The 19785-nt window shown below is 40.1% G+C and overlaps 1 long non-coding RNA gene and 1 other non-coding gene across 2 annotated transcripts, besides 1 other annotated feature; one reads left to right on the top strand and one right to left on the bottom strand.

Moving 5' to 3' along the window:
• Positions 1-499: 499 nt before the first annotated feature.
• Positions 500-18572, bottom strand: LINC02416 (long intergenic non-protein coding RNA 2416). The gene is made up of 4 exons (NR_183615.1): positions 18458-18572; positions 4916-5048; positions 2530-2682; positions 500-2450 (listed from the first exon to the last, which is right to left on the bottom strand). It is a non-coding gene; the product is annotated as a long intergenic non-protein coding RNA 2416 (long non-coding RNA).
• Positions 8071-8154, top strand: MIR4494 (microRNA 4494). The gene has a single exon (NR_039715.1). It is a non-coding gene; the product is annotated as a microRNA 4494 (primary transcript).
• Positions 10709-10758: a silencer, noted in NCBI's record as "silent region_4389". NCBI's record gives its function as "represses an Ori minimal core promoter by ATAC-STARR-seq in GM12878 lymphoblastoid cells {active_cell/tissue: GM12878}" and the evidence as "EXISTENCE:reporter gene assay evidence [ECO:0000049][PMID:35858748]".
• Positions 18573-19785: the final 1213 nt, after the last annotated feature.

The raw sequence follows: 19785 nt of genomic DNA, 5'->3' as shown, positions 1-19785 counted from the left end.
AACACAATGATGAAGCCCAAAGAGGTTAAACAGTGGGCCCACATTTTCCAGTACAGACTAACAGAGCTGATTTGAAGTCTTGGGGGGTGGTTGATCAAGAAAGGAAGCCACCGTATCCTACGTGACACTGGCCTTGTATGGAAGTACCCAACAGTGCTGTGAAGGCCTTCCTCCTCTCCCAGTCTCCTTCTGGACTTGCGCTTTCATCACTTAAAACTCTATTTTTTTACATTGCCAAATGCTCTTCATTCTGTCAGAGGAAGCATATTTAGCTATGATCAATCTGCTTTCATTAAATCTTTAGTGATGCTGAGGGAAACGAAAAACTACTTGAAGCAGACATCAGGGACCTGGGCATCTAAACAGGCTCTATTTCTTACTTGCTTTGTCATCTGAGGCCACATGGTTTCCCCTTCTCCCATTTTGGTTTCCTCATCGGGAAGCAGGAATAAATGTTTTCTTTGCAGTGTAGTTGTGAAGTACCATTGATTCAATGGATCTAAAAGTTCTCTGTAAAAAGTAAATTCTCATAAAAAGACAAAATATTCTTTGTTCTTGGGTTAAAAGATTATTTTTAGTTTGTTATAACCAAGTCAATACTAGTACACATCATTATTATCCTCATACATGAAAATAAGAAAAAAATCCACAGTCTCTTCATGCAGAAATAGCAGTTAACACTTTAGTGTAGATCCTCCCAGAACTTTTATTAAAATGAAAAATACTCGGCCAGGCACAGTGGCTCATGCCTGTAATCCCAGCACTTTGGGAGGCCGAGGCAGGCGGATCACAAGGTCAGGAGATCGAGCCCATCCTGGCTAACACGGTGAAACCCTGTCTCCACTAAAAATACAAAAAAATTAGCCGGGCGTGGTGGCGGTCGCCTGTAGTCCCAGCTACTCGGGAGGCTGAGGCAGGAGAATGGAGTGAACCCAGGAGATGGAGCTTGCAGTGAGCCGAGATCATGCCACCGCACAACAGCCTGGGCGACAGAGCGATACTCCATCTCAAAACAAAAAAAAAAAGAAAAATACTCTTGCTATTGTAATTATAATTTTGCAAAAATCAGTTGTTATTGATGCTGTACTGTTCTATGCTGACAAGATGGAGAAAGGAAAGAGACTGAGGGCAGTAGGTTGACCAGGTAGGAGAAGGGGCTAAAGAGGAACAGGGGTACATTTACTCAGAAGCCACCAGACTGGTAGCTAGTTGGGTAATCAGTTAAAGCAGTTAGTCAGTTAGAGCAAAGAAACATTAAAAATGGAAAACATTTTTAATATTTTACTAAAGTAAAACATATAAATATTCTTTCATTTGACAGTATTTTGAAGGGATAAGGCCTCTTTTAAGACATGTGACATCTAATAGGAGTCATGTGTAGTCATTTAAAAAGTCAGTGGTTTTCAGTCCCAATAGCTTTAAAGTAGAGCCAGAACTGAAGGACAGTTGGGGAACAATCTGAGTTCAGAATTATTCTAGATTTAACAAAATTTTCCAATTATTTTACACTTGCCTCACCTGCATGAAACTCTAAGATTGTTTTGTATTTGCTTTGTTTTCTAAGCAACTTGTCTTTACTGTTTATGGAAAGCATTCAGTTTGGATTTTGGACAACAGCAATTCTTTCCCTCACTCATATTTCATTGCTTTACATAATTACAAAAACAAGTGCAACTGGCAAAACCAGCTCGTGGACAAACATATCTGCCTCTTGGTAAACCTAAACTGTGGAAGCAGAACTACCCCAGGGACCTTAAAACCTGACTCCCGAGGAAGCAGTCACTTTGCTTTAGGCAGTGCGTGTAACGGAGAGGAAGGCAAGCATGGGAAAAGCCAGTTTTGAGGATTTCTCATACATTGCAAAAACAACTGTGTCCATCAGGACCCTTTTGCTGCAAGTAACAGAAACCCTCACAAAAGCTGGGTTTTAAAAAAAGGGGATTTATTCAGAGATAAAGCAGTCTTCATGGTTAGTCAGGCATGGTGCCTCATGCCTTTGTAATCCCAGTGCTTTGGGAGGAAGAGGAAGGTGCATCACTTGAGGCCAAGAGTTCTAGACCAGCCTTGGCAACATAGCAAGACCCTGTCTCTACAAAAAAAATTTAAAAATTAGCCCAGTGTGGTGGCATGAACCTATAGTCCTAGCTACTTGGGAAGCTGAGGAGGAAAGATCATTTGAGCCCAGAAGTGGGAGGCTGCAGTGAGATATAATCTCACCACTGCACTCCAGCCTAGGTGACAGAGCAAGACCCTGTCTCTTAAAAAAAAAAAAAAAGAAAGAAAAAAGAAAAGAAAGAAAAAGAAAAGAAAAAAAGAAAGGCTAGTTGAATCAGTAGTTTAGCAATGTTACTGGACCCCAGATTATTTCCATTGCTCCACTCTTCATCCGCAGCATCAGCTTCCTCTTATGACTGGGGCCAACAGCTGGACATCTCGTTTCCTTTTCCTCACTGGTAGGAGAGAGAACAGGTGTCCATTTGGAATTATGTCCTTCCCTTCTGTCTGACCAGTTCAAGTTGGGTCTCATACCTGCCCCTGGACAAATTAATCATCATCATCAAAGGAATGGCATCTGGTGATTGGTTTAAAATATCAGCATCCACTTCTGGAGCTGGGAATGAGTTCGGCTTCCCATTCCTGTGAATCTCATGATTCGTGTGAACACCTGAACAAAACCGGATCCTGTGAAGGAAGAAGTGGTGAGGAAAGCATGCTCAGAGAGATGGCTACTTCACATTACTGCCTCTTGCCAGGTCTGTTTCCTCAGATGCCAGGATTGTACATTCCCAAGCCATCTTGGTCAACACGGTATCATCCACCTACTTAACTAGTCTTCCTTTAATTCAGGGTCACAAATATTGATGGGTTCTCCCAGGGCCTGGAGCCCCGCCTGCACTTCCCGGGGTTATTCCCTGGCCCATCCTACAAGGAAGCATTTTATAGCTGCTCTCCCTTCAAAGCTCCAACACCTGCTCCCCCTCCCTCATAGTCTAGCTGATGTCTTCCTCTCAAACTTCACAAAGAAGCTTCAAGCTGCAGACTAGACCTTCCCTTCATCAACTGTACCCTGCAGCTGTCTCTGCCCACGTGCTCTTTCCTAGGCCTCAGTGGGGGAGTTGGCTGCTCTCTCAGGCCAACCTTACCATCTGCTAGCTCCTGGACCCCAGCCCCCCTCACCTTCTCAGGACCTTTTCAGGCTGGCTCTGCATCCAGCCCCTCTCTCTCTAACTCCAAAGGCATACAAAGGTGCCGGAATCTTGCATCTTAAAAACCAAGTCAACCAAAGCCAAAAAAAACTCTTCCCTGACCTTCTCCCTCCTGTTACAATCTTGTTTTTTTCCATACAACATGTCTTTAAAGTGCTGTTTAGAGGCACTGTCTCCACTTTCTCAGTTCTCGTTCTCTCAATTCACTGTCATTGAGCTGTTGAACCCATCACTCCCCAAAACGGTTCTAATCAATGTGATTAATGACTTATTTTGCCAAATCTGGTCACTTGTTGCTTTTCTGACCCTATCCTTTAGCACTTTCTTCAACCTCTCACTTTCTCCTCCAGCTTCTATAGCACACCCTCTCCTAGGTGGATTTCCTTCCCCAATCACTTGCTGTTCCTCCATCTCCTCTCTTTGAGGACGGCCAAGATTGATTTGGGACCTTATTCTTTTCCCCTTCCCTCCCCTCCACTTCTCTTTCTTTTCCTCTCCCCATCCTCTTTCAATATTTACGTGGCCCAGCTTATCTGTTCAACTCCCTGTTTAAAGTCATTCCTTGCTGATGATTGGCAGGTTTACAGTTCCACTCCTGATCTGTCCACTAAGCTTCAGGCTTGTAGAGGCAGCGGGTTGCCTCTATACTCTGCTTAAAAGTCTAATAGCATCTCCACCTCATATGCCCTAAACAGAACTTTGGGTTCCTTCCACCTCTGTCCCTCAAGCTCACTTCTCCTCTAGTCTCTTTATCAACTTAGGAAATGACACCACCATCTACTACACTGTGGCTCCAGTCTCACACAGGAATCACTCTTGATTCCTCTTGTCCCGTGCTACTCCCTTCATATACTCCATCAGTGAGTGCTGTCATCTTCCCCAAGACAGCCTCAATTCATCCTCTTTTCTTTATCTCTAGCTCTAAGCTGCAATCATCTCACGGAAATACTGTGAGAACCTGGTACAATTTCTATTCTGCACAGAGACCAGAGTAATCCACAAATATTAAGTCAGATCATCTCACTCCCTTTTGTAAAAACCCTTTTGTGGCTTCCTGTTGTGGGCAGAACTAAATCAAGACAGCTTATCATGGCCTAAGAGGACTTACCGGAGCTGGTCATGACCCCTTCTGACCTCATTTGGTGAAATTGGGCCCTGGGCACACTGACCCTCTGCCTGCGAAAACGCAGGCTCATGCCCACCCAGTGTCTTTCAAGTTTCTCTGCTCCTGATTTTTACAAGATTTTATCTTTCTCATTATTAAGTTCTCAGCCTAAAGGTCACGTCCTCAGAGGCCTTTCCTGACCACCCAGTCTAAATTAGCTCCTTGCCCTCATCACTCCCTACTCTTAATTTTGTTCTACTTTTGTTCTAGAACTTAATGCTATTTTGATTATCTTCCCATCCATTTCTAGACTGTAACCACCGGGGAGGCAGAATACTTTATCTTGTTTACTATTGTTAAATGAAATTTATGGGAGACTATTGTTTTGGACTGGGCTCCTGAACTAGGCCCAGCAGACCAGAATGGAGTCATTCATGTTAAATGCCACATAATCAAACTGAACTCTGAAATAGGCCAGCTTTCTAATAAAAAAAAAAATAGAGAGCGAATGAGATTCACAGCAACTAATCAAAAGGGGAGCAGCTTACCTTAAGATGGTATGACCAGGAAGTCCCTTCTGCTTTAACACTATCAGGGTACTAACCTTGAAACAAAGCATCTGCTTTTTGTTCTCTGTTTCTGTTTTCTTCAGCCCTTTTCTGCCTATAAAGCCAGGCTCGTCTTCTCAGCTCATCGGAAAACCCATTTTATTTTATAGGATGAGATGTTGCCTGATTCTAGAATTATTAATAAAAGCCAATTAGATCTTTATACTAAATTTGTTGTAATTTTGTTTTTTGACACTATGGTGGTCTCAGCACCTAGAACAATAATATAAGCAAATAGCAATAATAATTTAATGAATAATTCTGTTTGCCTGACTTACATCCCACTTTCAGAAAGGAATAACCTCCTGGGAGTAGTCAGCAGAGGTCCCAGGACAAGTAGCCATGGGAGTTGCCTAATCTTCTTTCACTCACCGCTTAAATCATTTAGCAAATATTAATTGTCAGGTTATGGGCTAAATACTGGAGGAACCCAGATAAAGAAATCACAGTTTTTGTCATTTCAAGAACTCACAGACTGGTGGGTGGTGGCAGACTAAGAGGGTAGAAAATTACAGTGTTGCCGTTTGATAAATACAATAGGAGAGGGAAGCACAGGCTCCTATTGCAGCTCACAGAAGGAGCACCTAACTCACATGAAGTCAAGGAAAGCTTCCTGGAAGAAGTGATACTTCAAGCAAGTCTTAAGGGTAAGTAGAAGCAGTGGGTGAAGAAGGGGTGGGAAGTGGGAAGGAACGCTCTAGGGAAGGGAGAAACAGAGGCACAGAGGGTGGGCAGCTGCAGGGGAAGTGGAAGGTGACCAGGAGGTAGCATGGAAACAATGTGGACAGCTCAGTAGAGACCATATCATGAACAGCCTTGTTACAACAACAAAAATAAGAACAGTGTCTAACGTTTACTGAGGACTTACCATGTAACAGGCACTGAGTTAAGCATATCACCTGTGTTTTCTCAGTTAATCCCTGCTACAACCCCAAGTAGGCTTTATTACTATGCACATTTTATTGAAGGGGAATGTGAAGATGTTACTGGAAAGGCATCTCGGTCCAGAACCCAAGAGAGAGTTGTTGGATCTCATGCAAGGAAGAATTCCAGGCGTGTCCACAGAGCAAAGTGAAAGCAAGTTTATTAGGAAAGTAAAGGAGTAAAAGAATGGCTACTCCATAGGCAGAGCAACCCTGAGGGATGCTGGTTGCCTGTTTTTATGGTTATTTCTTGATTATATGCTAAACAAAGGGTGGATTATTCATGAGTTTTCCAGGAAAGAAGTAGGCAGTTCTAGGAACAGAGGGTTGCTCCCTTTTTAGATGCTATAGGGTAACTTCCTGACTTTGCCATGGCATTTGTAAACTGTCATGGCGCTGGTGGCAGTGTAGCAGTGAGGATGACCACAGGTCACTCTCATTGTCATCTTGGTTTGGGTGGGTTTTGTCTGGCTTCTTTACTGCAACCTGTTTTATCAGCAAGGTCTTTACGACCTTGTGTATCTTGTGCCGACCTCCTATCTCTTCCTGTGGCTTAGAATGCCTTAACCTCTTGGTAATGCAGCCCAGCAGGTCTCAGCCTTATTTTACCCAGTCCCTATTCAAGATGGAGTCCTCTGGTTCAAACGCCTCTGGCAGAGCCACTTTACTGAGGACACATAGTAAGGGGTGGAGTCAGCAGTGAAGCATATTACAAGTGCTTTGAAACTCAAGCCCTGAGTCTCTTGTGTGATTTCTTAATTTCACTCTCTGATCCTTAGTTTCCTCGTTGGTAGAATGGGACTGGCCCTGGTGCCCCTGCTACATGGAGTCTGTGGGATTCAATGAGAAGATTCCTGGCCTGGCGTGGCTCATGCCTATAATCCCAGCACTTTGGGAGGCCAAGGTGGGTGGATCACTTGAGGTCAGGAGTTTGAGAGCAGCCTGGCCAACATGGTGAAATGCTGTCTCTACTAAAATACAAAAATTAGCTGGGCGTGGTGGTGCACACCTGTAATCCCAACTACTCGGGAGGCTGAGGTAATAGAATCACTTGAACCCAGGAGGCTGAGGTTGCAGTGAGCCGAGATTATGCCACCGTGCTCCAGCCTGGGCAACAAAGCAAGACTCTGCCAGAAAAAAAAAAGAGAAAAGATGCGTGTAAAAGGGCTGACTGCTGAATCCAACTTAGTCACTACTCAGTAAATGTCAGCTACTACTACTATTATTACTGAATTTCTTTTTGGAATGTTGATAGAGAACCATTACCACTTAAACCTGGGGAATTTTTCCTTGCTGTGGAAACAGGGCTTGACTTTCTAAAGATTGTGCTCCCCTCTCATGATGATTGGTGACTTCGTTTACTCATTTATAACATGTTCTGAACATCCACAACTTTGGTCCGTTTTTTTTGTATATGCAAATTTTTTGAGATATAGATTGAATGGTAGAAATGGAGAATTAATATTTGCATGAAAGGATTAATAGTTTAAAATCTTGTTTTTAACCATAAAGCAACACATTCATAAGCTGTAAAACTTACAAATGGGTATGAAATGTAAACGCCTACCTCCTTACTTACAAATCCATATTTAATGTAATTATAGCTGAAGATAATCATAGCTATTATTTCTTTTTTCTCAGATATTTGTATGTATATACATACATGTATATAAATATATGTATAAACGTGATTCTAGGAATTTTCACTTATAATGATATTGTATTCTACCTTTTTTTCCTACTTAAAACAGTTTAGTTTGGATACTTTTCATATCAAGACATAGAAATGCATTGGTTCTTTGGAACAGCTATGTAATATCCCATTTTACAGAGCCACTATAGTTTATTTAATCCTCTCTTGATGGGCATTTAAATTTTTTTTTTTTTTTTTACTATTACAAATAATAGTATCATGCTACTCCTATACAGTATATATTTGCCGCCTGGTGAAAGCGTTTCCTTGGGAAAAATTCCTGAAAGGAGAATTGCTGAGTTTAAGAGAATGTGCTTGTTAAATTTTAATAGTTATTGCCAAATTGCTTTCCAAAAAGTTGTAGCAATTTACATTTCATTAATAATACATGAGTGGTCCTGTTTCCCACACTCTTGAGTAAGATCAACATTTTACAGTAGTTCTCCTTTATCCATGGGATTATACCATGCTGCACAATTTAAAATGTATAAGTTGTTTGTTTCTGGAATTTTCCATTTAATACTTTGTTTTCTGAAGTTTTAGTTACCCTGGTCATCTGCAGTCTGAAAATACAAAATGGAAAATTCCAGACTGTGGCTGACCAGAGGTAACTGAAACCTCAGAAAGTAAAACCATAGAATGGGGTTGGGTGGGGTGGGTGCAAGCTCCAGTATTTTTGCAAAATATACAAAGTGAAAAACAGTATCTTGTTTTAACTTACATTCCTTGATTTTTTTAGATAGCTAAAAATGTTATGTGTTTATTGGCTGTTTGCTTTGTTTTTGTTGCAAACTTATTTTTCTATTGAATTGTTCAGTTTTCTGTTGCTGATTTTTTAATTGCTTTGTATATAAAAGAAATTAACCCTCTTCCTGTTATATAAATTGCAGACTTTTTTTTTCTATCCTGTGGTTTATCTCTTGACTTTACGGTATTCTAGTCTTGAAAAAGTTTTAACTTTTATATAAGTAAATTTATCAATCTTATCTTTTATGTCTGTCACTTTTCCCCAGTTAAAAATTATGAGAAAAAGATCAATGATTTTTCCAGTATTGTTATGGTTTCATATTTTACATTCAAGTTATTGATCCACATAGAATTTGTTTGGGCATAAGATACTTCTGCACTTTTTCCCCCAATGGCATGTTCATCACAACATTTCTGAATTATTCATATTCTCCCATTAACTTTAAAATACCACCTTATTTATATTTTATTTTATTTTATTTTTTTGAGACAAAGTCTTACTCTGTCACCCAGGCTGGAGTGCAGTGGCACAATCATGGCTTACTGCAGACTTGACCTCCAGGGCTCAAGTAATCCTCCCACCTCAGCCTCCCAAGCAGCTGTGACTACGGGCATGCACCAGCACACCCAGGTAATTTTTATATTTTTTGTAGAGACAGGGTTTTGCAATGTTGCTCAGGCTGGTCTCGAACTCCTGAGCTTAAGTGATACACCCACCTCAGCCTCCCAAAGTGCTGGGATTACAGGCCTGAGCCACTGCACATGGCCTTATATTAATATTAATACTTTAAGTTCTTAAAGGTATTTGGGTCTGTTTCTGGGGTCTTTATTCTCCATTAACAGCTTTCTTATTTCTTATAATTTCTCTACCTATAAAATATCTTAATATTGGATAAAACTATTTCTTCATTATTTCATTTACAGTTGTATTGGCTATTCTCACTCCTCTATTATTCTACAAGACCTTTACAACATTTTGTCAGTCTCCAAAAAAATCCTATTGATATTTTGATTGGAATTACAATTGCTTCAGGGAAAAGAAACTATATTGTTTCATTCACTCCTATCTTTCGGGTTCCCATATTAATCAGGATAGGATGGACTGTTGCAAGAATAATTAAATTTTCAAATCCCAGGGTATTATTTCAACAAAATTTTGTTTCTCACTCATGTAAATTCCTGTGCAATTGGGCCACTCTCCAGGACAGGGGTCCTCACTTTAGGGGCCCCACTGTCCAGGCTGTTTTGATCTTACAGCTCTGCTCTCTCAACATGCTGAGGACGATGGAAGAGATAACTTCCGGTCCTGTCTAGTTAGGTGGAGTGGTAAAACCAATCCTGGTCAATGGACTTTGAGTAGCAGTGATATGTCTCACTTCAGGATCAAAGCTTAGAAAAGCAGGTGTGAATTTTCCCTGTGATCTTTTCCTTTGTTGGTCAATTTCGGAGCCCATGACTTGAGATGACAGAACCAGCGACAGAAATCTTTTCAATAACTGAGCCACTTCATCACACAGGGCAGTTGCCCAGGGAACTCACCTGACTCACATCAGACCCACAGCTTTATTGTATTAAGGCCACTGAGATTCCAGGCGAAAGTTGCTACTGCAATGTGAAAAAACTTATCCTGACTGGAAAAAAAAAAAATGCTGAGGCCAGTAGTGGTAAGCTGTTGAAAAAAAATTAAAATACTGGCTTAGCAGTCAGCTGATGACAGAGAGGAAACTGATATCAGATGCTGGGAAGAAGGCAACACATTTGGTAAAGGTTTTGCTTGTGATTACCTTGCAAGACCATTCACCTATTGTACTGCTGCTATTATATATGTGGTTGCTTCTGGTTGTGTTTGGCAAAGTACTGGGAGGGAAGAGAGAGAGAGAGAGAAGCAACTCCAGAAAGAAATGACCAGTTTATAATGAATAATAAAAGGGAATAAAGATAATCCAAAAATTTGGAGTCTTATAAATTTGAAAAAACCAACTGCTTTTAGATTCAGAATCTGAAGAGTTTAAAGGCTTTGAGTAAAAAGTGCTAGGAAAAAAGAAAAAAAATATATATATATGTATATGTATACACACACACACACATAGATACATACATACATACTTGTGTGTGTATCAGTTGATTAAATGCCTCAGGGCAAAGGTTAGATCAACTTTTACAACTTGTTAAAACTTTAGAGGATTAAAATTACTTAAATCGAGGTCCTGGCCACGAAGGTGCGGGGGAGAGGCAGAGGGAGGATGTTTTGAGGACAAGAAAGCACAAGAATGAAGCAGAAATAAAAGAAGTCCCTCAAACACAATTCTAAATATGGTTATTTGCTCATGGAAATGTCTGGAAGCAGATAGATGGGGCCTCCTGGTTTTTGAGGTAGTCGTTCAGTAGTACAAAGAAACTGTAAGCCTGGTCTAAAAAGCCTGAGGCACCACCCTAATTCAGGGCAGGACGTGGAAAGCTGTGTAGCTCAATACTTCAAGTATGACCAAGGCAGATAATAGAACAGAAAGGACTTCCCAGAGGGTGGAGCCAATGAGCTCTGAGAACTGCCCTACACCCTGGGGGAATGGGCCCTGGAAGTCAAGTTTGTACCTGTGGCCGTGTCCCCGAGCAGAGTTGTTTGAACCCACATTGGGCAGTTGTCCTAAGTTTGACTAATCAGATTCTCTCAGAACTTTGTAACTGAGACTGAGATGTTCTTGTTTCTTTGAGAAGTTTGCTTGTTCTGAGGTAATAAGAACGGAGGACTTTATGGGAGTGGCCATCTTTTACCTATCAAGTGTGCTGAGAATGCTGTAGAGAAAACTGGTCTTTTCTGTAGAGAAGAGAAAAGAATACTTCTTGTGGAGAAGACATGAGAAACCATATTTATGGGGGCAAGGTGCAGGCAGTGGGGCAGGGAAGAGGGAGAGGGACACAGAGATTTGAAACATGATTCTGCCTGTTCCTGAGAGCTTTCTAGTCTCCTGGCTCCCCCAGGGTCAAGCTCCTATAAGGACCAGCTGTACTCCTATAAGTTCCAGGAGGCACCCATGTATCATTACAGTCCATCTCCTTTTCTTGTTTAAGTTTGTTTGGGTTGGTTTCTCTTTCTTAAAATCAAAAGACCCTTGACTGAGGAAGTGCCCGTATCTTATCACTGCAAAACATCTCCAGGAAGGAACCTCCCCTTCCTTCCTGCTGTGTACGTTGTGGTCACAGCACGACAGTGAGATTTCTCAGTAATCCCTGATTTCAAAGTAATTACAGGGGAAAAGGAGTAGCTGAAAAATTGGCTCATGCCTCCATCTCCATCTAGAATGCCCAGTGTTAAGGATGACCTCTTTAATAACAACACTGAGAACAGCAGCAATAATATGAAAAGAAAACATAATGATTCCTATTGTCCTTAATTTCATACTCAGGTTAAGGAGGAGGAGGAATATTTACTCTTTATTTCCTTTATCAATTCACTCTCCTGCTCTCTGGAAAGGTTTTCTACCTTCTCATTCTCCTACTTAGAGCGTCCCTTCTCTTTCCTTACTCTCAGCTGATGAACTTATTTTTTATTCCACTGAGAAAAAAAGAATAACTAGGAGATAATTTTATTATCCTTCCAGCACCAAATCTACCAAACTGCCAGCAAGGTACCCATTTACTTGGCCCTCCCTCCTGTTCCTATCAGTGCTTAAAGTTCTATCAAAGCCCAATAGAACTTCCTGAGATGATAGAAATATTCTGTACCTGTCTCTCCTCAAGGCAAAGCCGAGAGCCACACATAACTATTGAGTGATTGGAACATGGCCAGTGAAATTGAGGAACTGAATTTTACATTTTATTTAATTTCAATTAATTTAAATGCATATAGCCATATGTGGCTAGTGGCTGCTGTGTAGGACAGCTGAGGTATACAGAAGTCTTTTGAGGAGTTTTGCTATAAAGGAACAGAAAATGGGGTGGATAGTCACAGAGGGATGGGGGTCAAAGCAACAGCACTTTAAAAAAAAAGGTAAATAACATTTTAGCATGCTGGTAGGAAGGATTCATAGAACAGACAAAAAGATTACACAGGAGAGAAAGAAGGGTCAGTTGCATGTCTCAAAAGAAAGCATACACATAGCCAATAAGTGCACGAAAAATGCTCAACATCACTGATCATTAGAGAAATGAAATCAAAACCACAATGACGTACCATTTCACACCAGTCAGAATGGCTACTATTAAAAAATCAAAAAATAACAGATGCCGGTGTGATTGCAGAGAAAAGGTAATGCCTATATGCTGCTGGTAGGAATGTAAATTAGTTCAGCCACTGTAGAAAACAGATTGGAGGTTTCTCAAAGAACTCAGAACTACCATTCGATCCAGCAGTCCCATTGTTGGGTATATATCCAAAAGGAATATAAATTTTTCTACCGAAAAGACATATGCACCCATATGTTCACTGCAGCACTATTCACAATAGCAAAGACATGGAATCAACCTAGGTGCCCATCAATGATGGACTGTACAAAGAAAATGTCATACATATACACCATGGAATACTATGCAGCCATAAAAAAGAATGAGATCATGTCTTTTGCAGCAACAGGGATGCAGCTGGAGGTCACTATCCTAAGCAAATTAATGCAGGAACAGAAAACCAAATACCACACGTTCTTACTTATAAGTGGGAGCAAAACATTATGTACACATGGACACAAAGAAAAGAACAATAGACGCTGGGACCTAACTGAGTGGGGAGGATGGGAAGAGGGTGAAGGTAAAAAACCAACCTGTCATGTACTGTGCTAACTACCTGGGTGACAAAATCATTTGTACACCAAATCCCAGTGACATGCAATTTACCTGTGTAACAAACCTACACAACTACCACAGAGCCTAAAATAAAAATTGAGAAAGTAAAATAAATAAATAAATAAATAAATAATGCTTAGAAACAAACAAACAAACAAACAAAAACTAGAAGAAGAAAGAAGGCTCAATTATAAAAGGAAAGTTGATTCTAGATAGGAGCAGGCCATTGTATATAGATGCACTGTCTAATATAACAGCCACTAGCCATACGTGGCTATTTAAATGTAAATTGATTTAAATTTAATAAACCTCTAAATTTAATTCCCCACTCACACTAGTCACATTTCAAGGGGCTATCATATTGGATGTAATTTCCATCATTGAAGAAACTTCTTTTGGACAGTGTTGCTGTATACTTTCTGTCTTCATTTTATATCATCATTCCATGTTTTGAAAAAAGTTTTAAACTTTTAAATCAAATTTATATAGGTGCATAGATTAGAGAGCCAAAAAGTGCTGCAATTGACAACTTTTCATTCCTTCTCCCTATTTTTCACTTCCCAAGAAATTGTGATCAAGTCTTTTTTTTTTTTTGAGACGGAGTGTCACTCTGTCACCCAGGCTGGAGTGCAGTGGCGCAATCTCAGTTCACTGCAAGCTCCACCTCCTGGGTTCACGCTGTTCTCCCGCCTCAGCCTCCCAAGTAGCTGGGACTACAGGCGCCCGCCACTACACCCAGCTAATTTTTTTTTGTGTGTATTTTTAGTAGAGACGGGGTTTCACCGTGTTGGCCAAGATGGTCTTCATCTCCTGACCTCATGATCCGCCCGCCTCGGCCTCCCAAAGTGCTAGGATTACAGGCCTGAGCCACGGAGCCCAGCCTCGAGTCTTTTAGCTTTAAAAAAATTATGGCTATAATTCTAAATAATTTTCTTGTATTGCTTCCTCTCTATTATTTTCCAAGTTTTGGACATGATCCTGACTTCTTTAAGGAATGCGTGGATTCAGCACTCCCCACACCCCTTCCTAGTCACATCTGTACACACATGTACACTTCCAGTCCCCCATCTCCCCATAGAGTCAAAGTATTTTTATGGTTAGATCAGTATTCAGTGTTTTCATTATTATGAAAAAGTGACTACTTGCAACCAAGCCATGTGATAAATCATGGTTACTTTTTATTTAAGATCTTTCGATGTTCCCTAAAGTTAATATTCTTTTTTAAAAATTTGCTTAGCTATGTAAGCAGTTATCAGCAATTTGACCCCAGTCCTCTTCAGAAGTGTGGATGTTCTTCCCATATGTTCAAATATATCAATTTCATCTTTTTGGAGCTATGTTTTCTGGAGACTTGCTTCGATCTGCTCAGGTTGCTCTCTGAGGCCGCTGCACGGTTGGCACCCTGGAATCCCCGTCACCTACATCCTGCGATTCCCGTCCCTTCTTTCTTGAGTCGGAGCCACTGTTGGTGGGACATGTCATCCTCTTCCTTGACATACTCCTTCATCGTGCTACTGCTCCAGCAGTAACTATAAAAAGTAAATGTTTGAGGACTAGCATGTCTGAAAATGCCTTTAGCCTATCTTCACACTTAGGACTTTGTGTATATAAATTCTAAGGCAGAAATAGTTTTCTCTCAAATTATAAAAACATTGTTTTACATTAACTTCTAGTTTCCACTGTTGTTAAAAAATCCAAATCTATTCTTACTCTTGATCCTTTGTATATGACCTATTCTTTCATCTCTTTTGGCCTGATATTATGACATTTTATAATGAGACGACTTATTATGGGTCTGCTTTCATTCATTATGCTGGGTTTTTGGTAGCCTTTTTTTTTTTTTTTTTTGAGACGGAGTCTCCTTCTGTCTCCCAGGCTGCAGTGCAATGGTGCGATCTCAGCTCACTGCAACCTCTGTCTCCCGGGTTCAAGTGATTCTCCTGACTCAGCCTCGCAAGTAGCTGGGATTACAAGCACCCGCCACCACACCCAGCTAACTTTTTGTATTTTTAATAGAGACTGAGTTTCACCATGTTGGCCAGACAGGTCTGGAACTCCTGACCTCAGGCTATCCGCCCGCCTCGGCCTCCCAAAGTGCTAGGATTATAGGCATGAGCTGCTGCACCTGGCCGGTGGGCCTTTTTAATCTAGAAATTCCTGTCATTCCACTTTGGAAATTTCCTTGAATTTTTCCTTTGACTGTTTCTTCATGTATGTTCTTTTGTTGTTGTTCCCTCTTTCTGTAATTCCTATCATTGAGATGTTAGACCTCTTGGACTGATCATCTAATTTTCTTTTTTACTTTTCTCTGCTGTTTTCCTTCTCTTTGATTTTTTGCTCTACTTTCCTCAATTTACCTTCTAGTCTTTGTATTGAGATTTTTGTTTCAGCTTTCATATTTTTAACTTCCAAAAGCTTCCTTTCATTGTATTAATGTCCCTCCTGGACATTGGGTATCAAATTGCTGATACCCTGATCTGGGTATCAAATTGCTTTTTAAACAGTTCTCAGGCCCACCTACACCCCTCACTTTTGGTTGAACCTGTATTACAGATTTCTGAGCCTTTGGCGGGTTCTATGGTGACAAATTGCTCCTTGCTTTCCCCAGTGCTGACTAGGAATTCAGCTTTCATAGATCTCAGTCATTTATCCTTCCCTAGATGCTTTCCAGTTTCCAAACTGTACATGTTAGAGTGGGGCAGGGGTGTGAGTAAGTCATTACAAATTCCATTTACTGTCATTTAGTCAGGTTTCAGGGGAAGCAGAAGTAAAATCACATGTTAGATCAGCCATCTGTGACCAGAAGCTTCCCCATTCTCACTCGAATGAACTTCTAATCAAGCTTTCATCCCCTCTCTCAAATCTTCTTTTGCCACGGTGACATATGACCTTCCATTGCCCATTCTCTGGTTAATTCTGTCCTTATCTCACTTGACTTCTTACCAGCATTTGACGTAGTTGATCACTTGTTTCTGGAACCCCACACCATCCTCACTGTTTTCTCCATTTGATTCTCTCTCTCTCTCTCTCTCTTCTATTTTTAGAATGTGCTTTTTAAAATTGAGTCATAATTTACATATTGTGAAATGCATAAATTTTAAGTGTGCAGTTCAATCAGTTTTGATAAATGCATACACCCATATCCTGCTCCCCTAACAAGACAGCATTTCTATTCTTTTTCTCTTCTATTGGGGATCCTCCTCTTCTTTTTCCTGACTTTTAAATGCTGCAGTTTCCAAGGGCTCAGTCCTCGGGTCTCTTGGGCTTCTTCTCTTTTCTATCTATACTGTCTCTCAATATCCAGTCCATTGGCTTTAAACACCATCCAGACCTGTGCTGTCCAACACAGTAGCCACTAGCCACATGGCTATTAAGTCTGAATCAAGATGTGGTACACATGTAAAATTCATACTGAAGTTCAAAGACTTATAAAAAAAAGAATGTAAAACAACACAATAATATTTTCATATTGACTATACAATAAAATGAGATTTTGGATGTATTAAGTTGAATAAAACATTACTAAAATTAATGTTACCTATTTTTTCCACTTTTTAACATATAGCTATTAGAAAACATATGTAACTTGCCTCGTATGTCTACTGGTTAGCACTAGTTTAGATATTGATAACTTACAAATTTCTGTCTCCAGCCCCAAACTCTCCTGAACACCAGACTTCATATCCAAATGCCTACTTGATGCAGCCAGAAAAAAGACCAAAATCATGTTCTTTGCAGGAACATGGACACAGCTGGAGGCCATTACCCTAAGCAAATTAACACAGGAACAGAAAGCCAAATACCGCATGTTCTCACTTATAAGTGGGAGCTAAACATTGGATATTCATGGACATAAAGATGGCAATGGTAGACAGTGGGGACTACTAGAGGGAGGAAGGAAGAAGGGGAGCAAGGGTTGAATAACTATTGGGTACTGTGAACAATACCTGGGTGATGGGATCATTTGTACCCCAAACCTCAGCATCACATAATATACCCACGTAACAAACCCAGACATGTATCCCCGAATCTAAAATAAAAGATGAAATTATAAAAAAAAGTTATATTGAAGTGTCAAATATTGATTACAACTATTTTGAAGCACAGAATATATTTATTATTATCATGGTTAATACTGAGTGTCAACTTGATTGGATTGAAGGATGCAAAGCACTGATCCTGCAGGTGTCTGTGAGGGTGTTGCCAAAGAAGATTAACACTTGAGTCAGTGGGTTGGGAAAGGCAGACCCACCCTTAATCTGGGTGGGCACCATCTAATCAGCTGCCAGCATGGCTATAATATAAAGCAGGCAGAAAAAAAAAAAAACAACAAAAAAACATGAAAAGACTAGACTGGCCTAGCCTCCCAGCCTACATCTTTCTCTCATGCTGGACCCTTCCTGCCCTCAAACATCAGACTCCATGTTCTTCAGCTTTGGGACTCAGACTGGCTTTCCTTGCTCCTCAGCCTGCAGATGGCCTATTGTGGGACCTTGTGATTGTGTGAGTTAATACTTACTAAACTATATCTATATCTATATCTATATATCTATATCTATATATATATATATGACTCAAATGTTAATCTCCTTTGGCAACACCCTCACAGACTCACGCAGGATCAGTGCTTTGCATCCTTCAATCCAATCAAGTTGATACTCAGTAATAACCATGATAATAATCGATATATTTTATGCTTCAAAATTGTAATCAATATTTCACGCTTCAATATAACTTTTTTTATAATTTCATCTTTTATTTTAGATTCAGGGATACATGTGTGGGTTTGTTACATGAGTATATTATGTGATGCTGAGGTTTGGGGTACAATTGATATATATATATATATATCATATATATGTATATATCATATATTATCCCATTAGTTCTGTCCCTCTAGAGAACCCTGACTAATACAATTATAAAAACCAACAAATGCCTACTTGACATACCCACTTGATTATATAATAGATATCTCAAACTTAACAGCTCTCAAATGGAATTTCATATTTCCCCCTGCCCCAGACTGACCCACCTCAGTTTTTCCTATTTCAGTAAAAGTCACCACGGTTTTACTCAATTGCTTGGGCCCAAAACTTTGGAATCTTATTGACCACTCCCTTTCTCTCCCTCTCCATGCCCAATCCATCAAAGAATACATGTAGAATTAGCAACTTTTCACCTTTGTCCCTACCAGGCCCAAGTTGTGGATTGCTTTCACCAGGACAATGACCATAGCTTCCTGTATGTATCCTGGCTTCTCCACTTACTTTGTCCTGTCTATTTCTCTGCACAGCAGCCAAATGGATCCTTTTACAAACATTATACCGGTTAAGTCATTCCTGTACTCAAAAAACCCCACAGCAACTTTTAATCACCATAAAATCCACAATCCTTACCAATGTACAAGGCGCTTCTTGATGTGTCCTCCGGCCACCTCTCCAGATAATTTTCTGTCTTTTTTACCTTGTTCAGTGCATGTCGCCTATTCTGATCTGTTCATCGTTGCAGTTTCCTTTTTCTTTTCTTTTCTTGAGACGGAGTCTCACTCTGTCGCACAGGCTGGAGTGCAGTGGCACACTCATGACTCACTGCAGCCTTGACCTCCTGGGGTCAAGTGATCCTTCCACCTCAACCTCCCAAGTAGCTGGAACTACATTCACAGACTACCATGCCCACCTAATTTTTGTATTTTTTATAGAGGCAGGGTTTCACTGTGTTTTGCAGGCTGGTCTCAAACTCCTGAGCTCAAGAGATCTGCCAGCCTTGGCATCTCAAAGTGCTGGGATTACAGGCGTGTGCCACTGTGCCTGGCCATAAGCTACACATTGTTATATTGAGAAGATCCTCTTGAAAACATATGAGTTACAGCTGGCCCTCTGTATATGAGGATTCTGCATCTGCAAATACAACCAACCATAGACCAAAAATGTCTGAAAAAAATTAAAATGACAACAACAACAAAAAAACAAATAAAAAACCAACACAATGCAACAACTATTTACATAGCATTTACATTATATTAGGCATTATAAGTAATCTAGATATGATTTAAAGTATATGGGGGATGTGCATAGGTTGTATGCAAACACTACACCATCTTATATCAGGGATTTGAGTATCTGCAGATTTTGGTACCCACAGGGGGTCCTGGAACCAATCCCCCGTGAATACCAAGGGACAACTTTATATGTAAAAATTAAGGCTGCTGGATGGATACATTTTACCAGCATATATCTTGGTATATGCATTACTGTCAAACCCACTATTCACAAAACTTCTGCTACTTTATTTCTTTAATCCATCTTTGGTGAGGAAAAAAATGTGTGTACCAAGCTGCTGGTAGACGGCACCAGTCTGCATAAGATAATAGCCAAAACCAGAACCCCAAGTCAACATGCATGACTTGTAGAATATCTGAAGTTAATAATGTTCATGTAACCCAAAAAGAGCTAGTGGATTTTAGGACCAATGATAAGGATATTAAAGATCAAAGAGAATGAAATGTCAAAGAGAATGAAATGAAACCAGGTTTCTTAGTATCTGAAGAGATTTCTATTACAATCTCTCTATCCATAATTTGAAGTCTATTATCTTCTCCTTAAAATTGGACATTTGAAATAAATAAAACTGTACAAAAATTAGGGCAAATTACAATAGCCTGATAATTACAACCCCAAACTATATATTACTTTTTAATTTTTTAACAGATTGGCAGCCAGAAAAG

The sequence above is a fragment of the Homo sapiens genome, chromosome 12 (assembly GCF_000001405.40).
Source record: "Homo sapiens chromosome 12, GRCh38.p14 Primary Assembly".
Taxonomy (NCBI): domain Eukaryota; kingdom Metazoa; phylum Chordata; class Mammalia; order Primates; family Hominidae; genus Homo; species Homo sapiens.
Note: the sequence above shows the minus strand (reverse complement) of the source record. Positions and strands in the feature narration are given on the sequence as shown.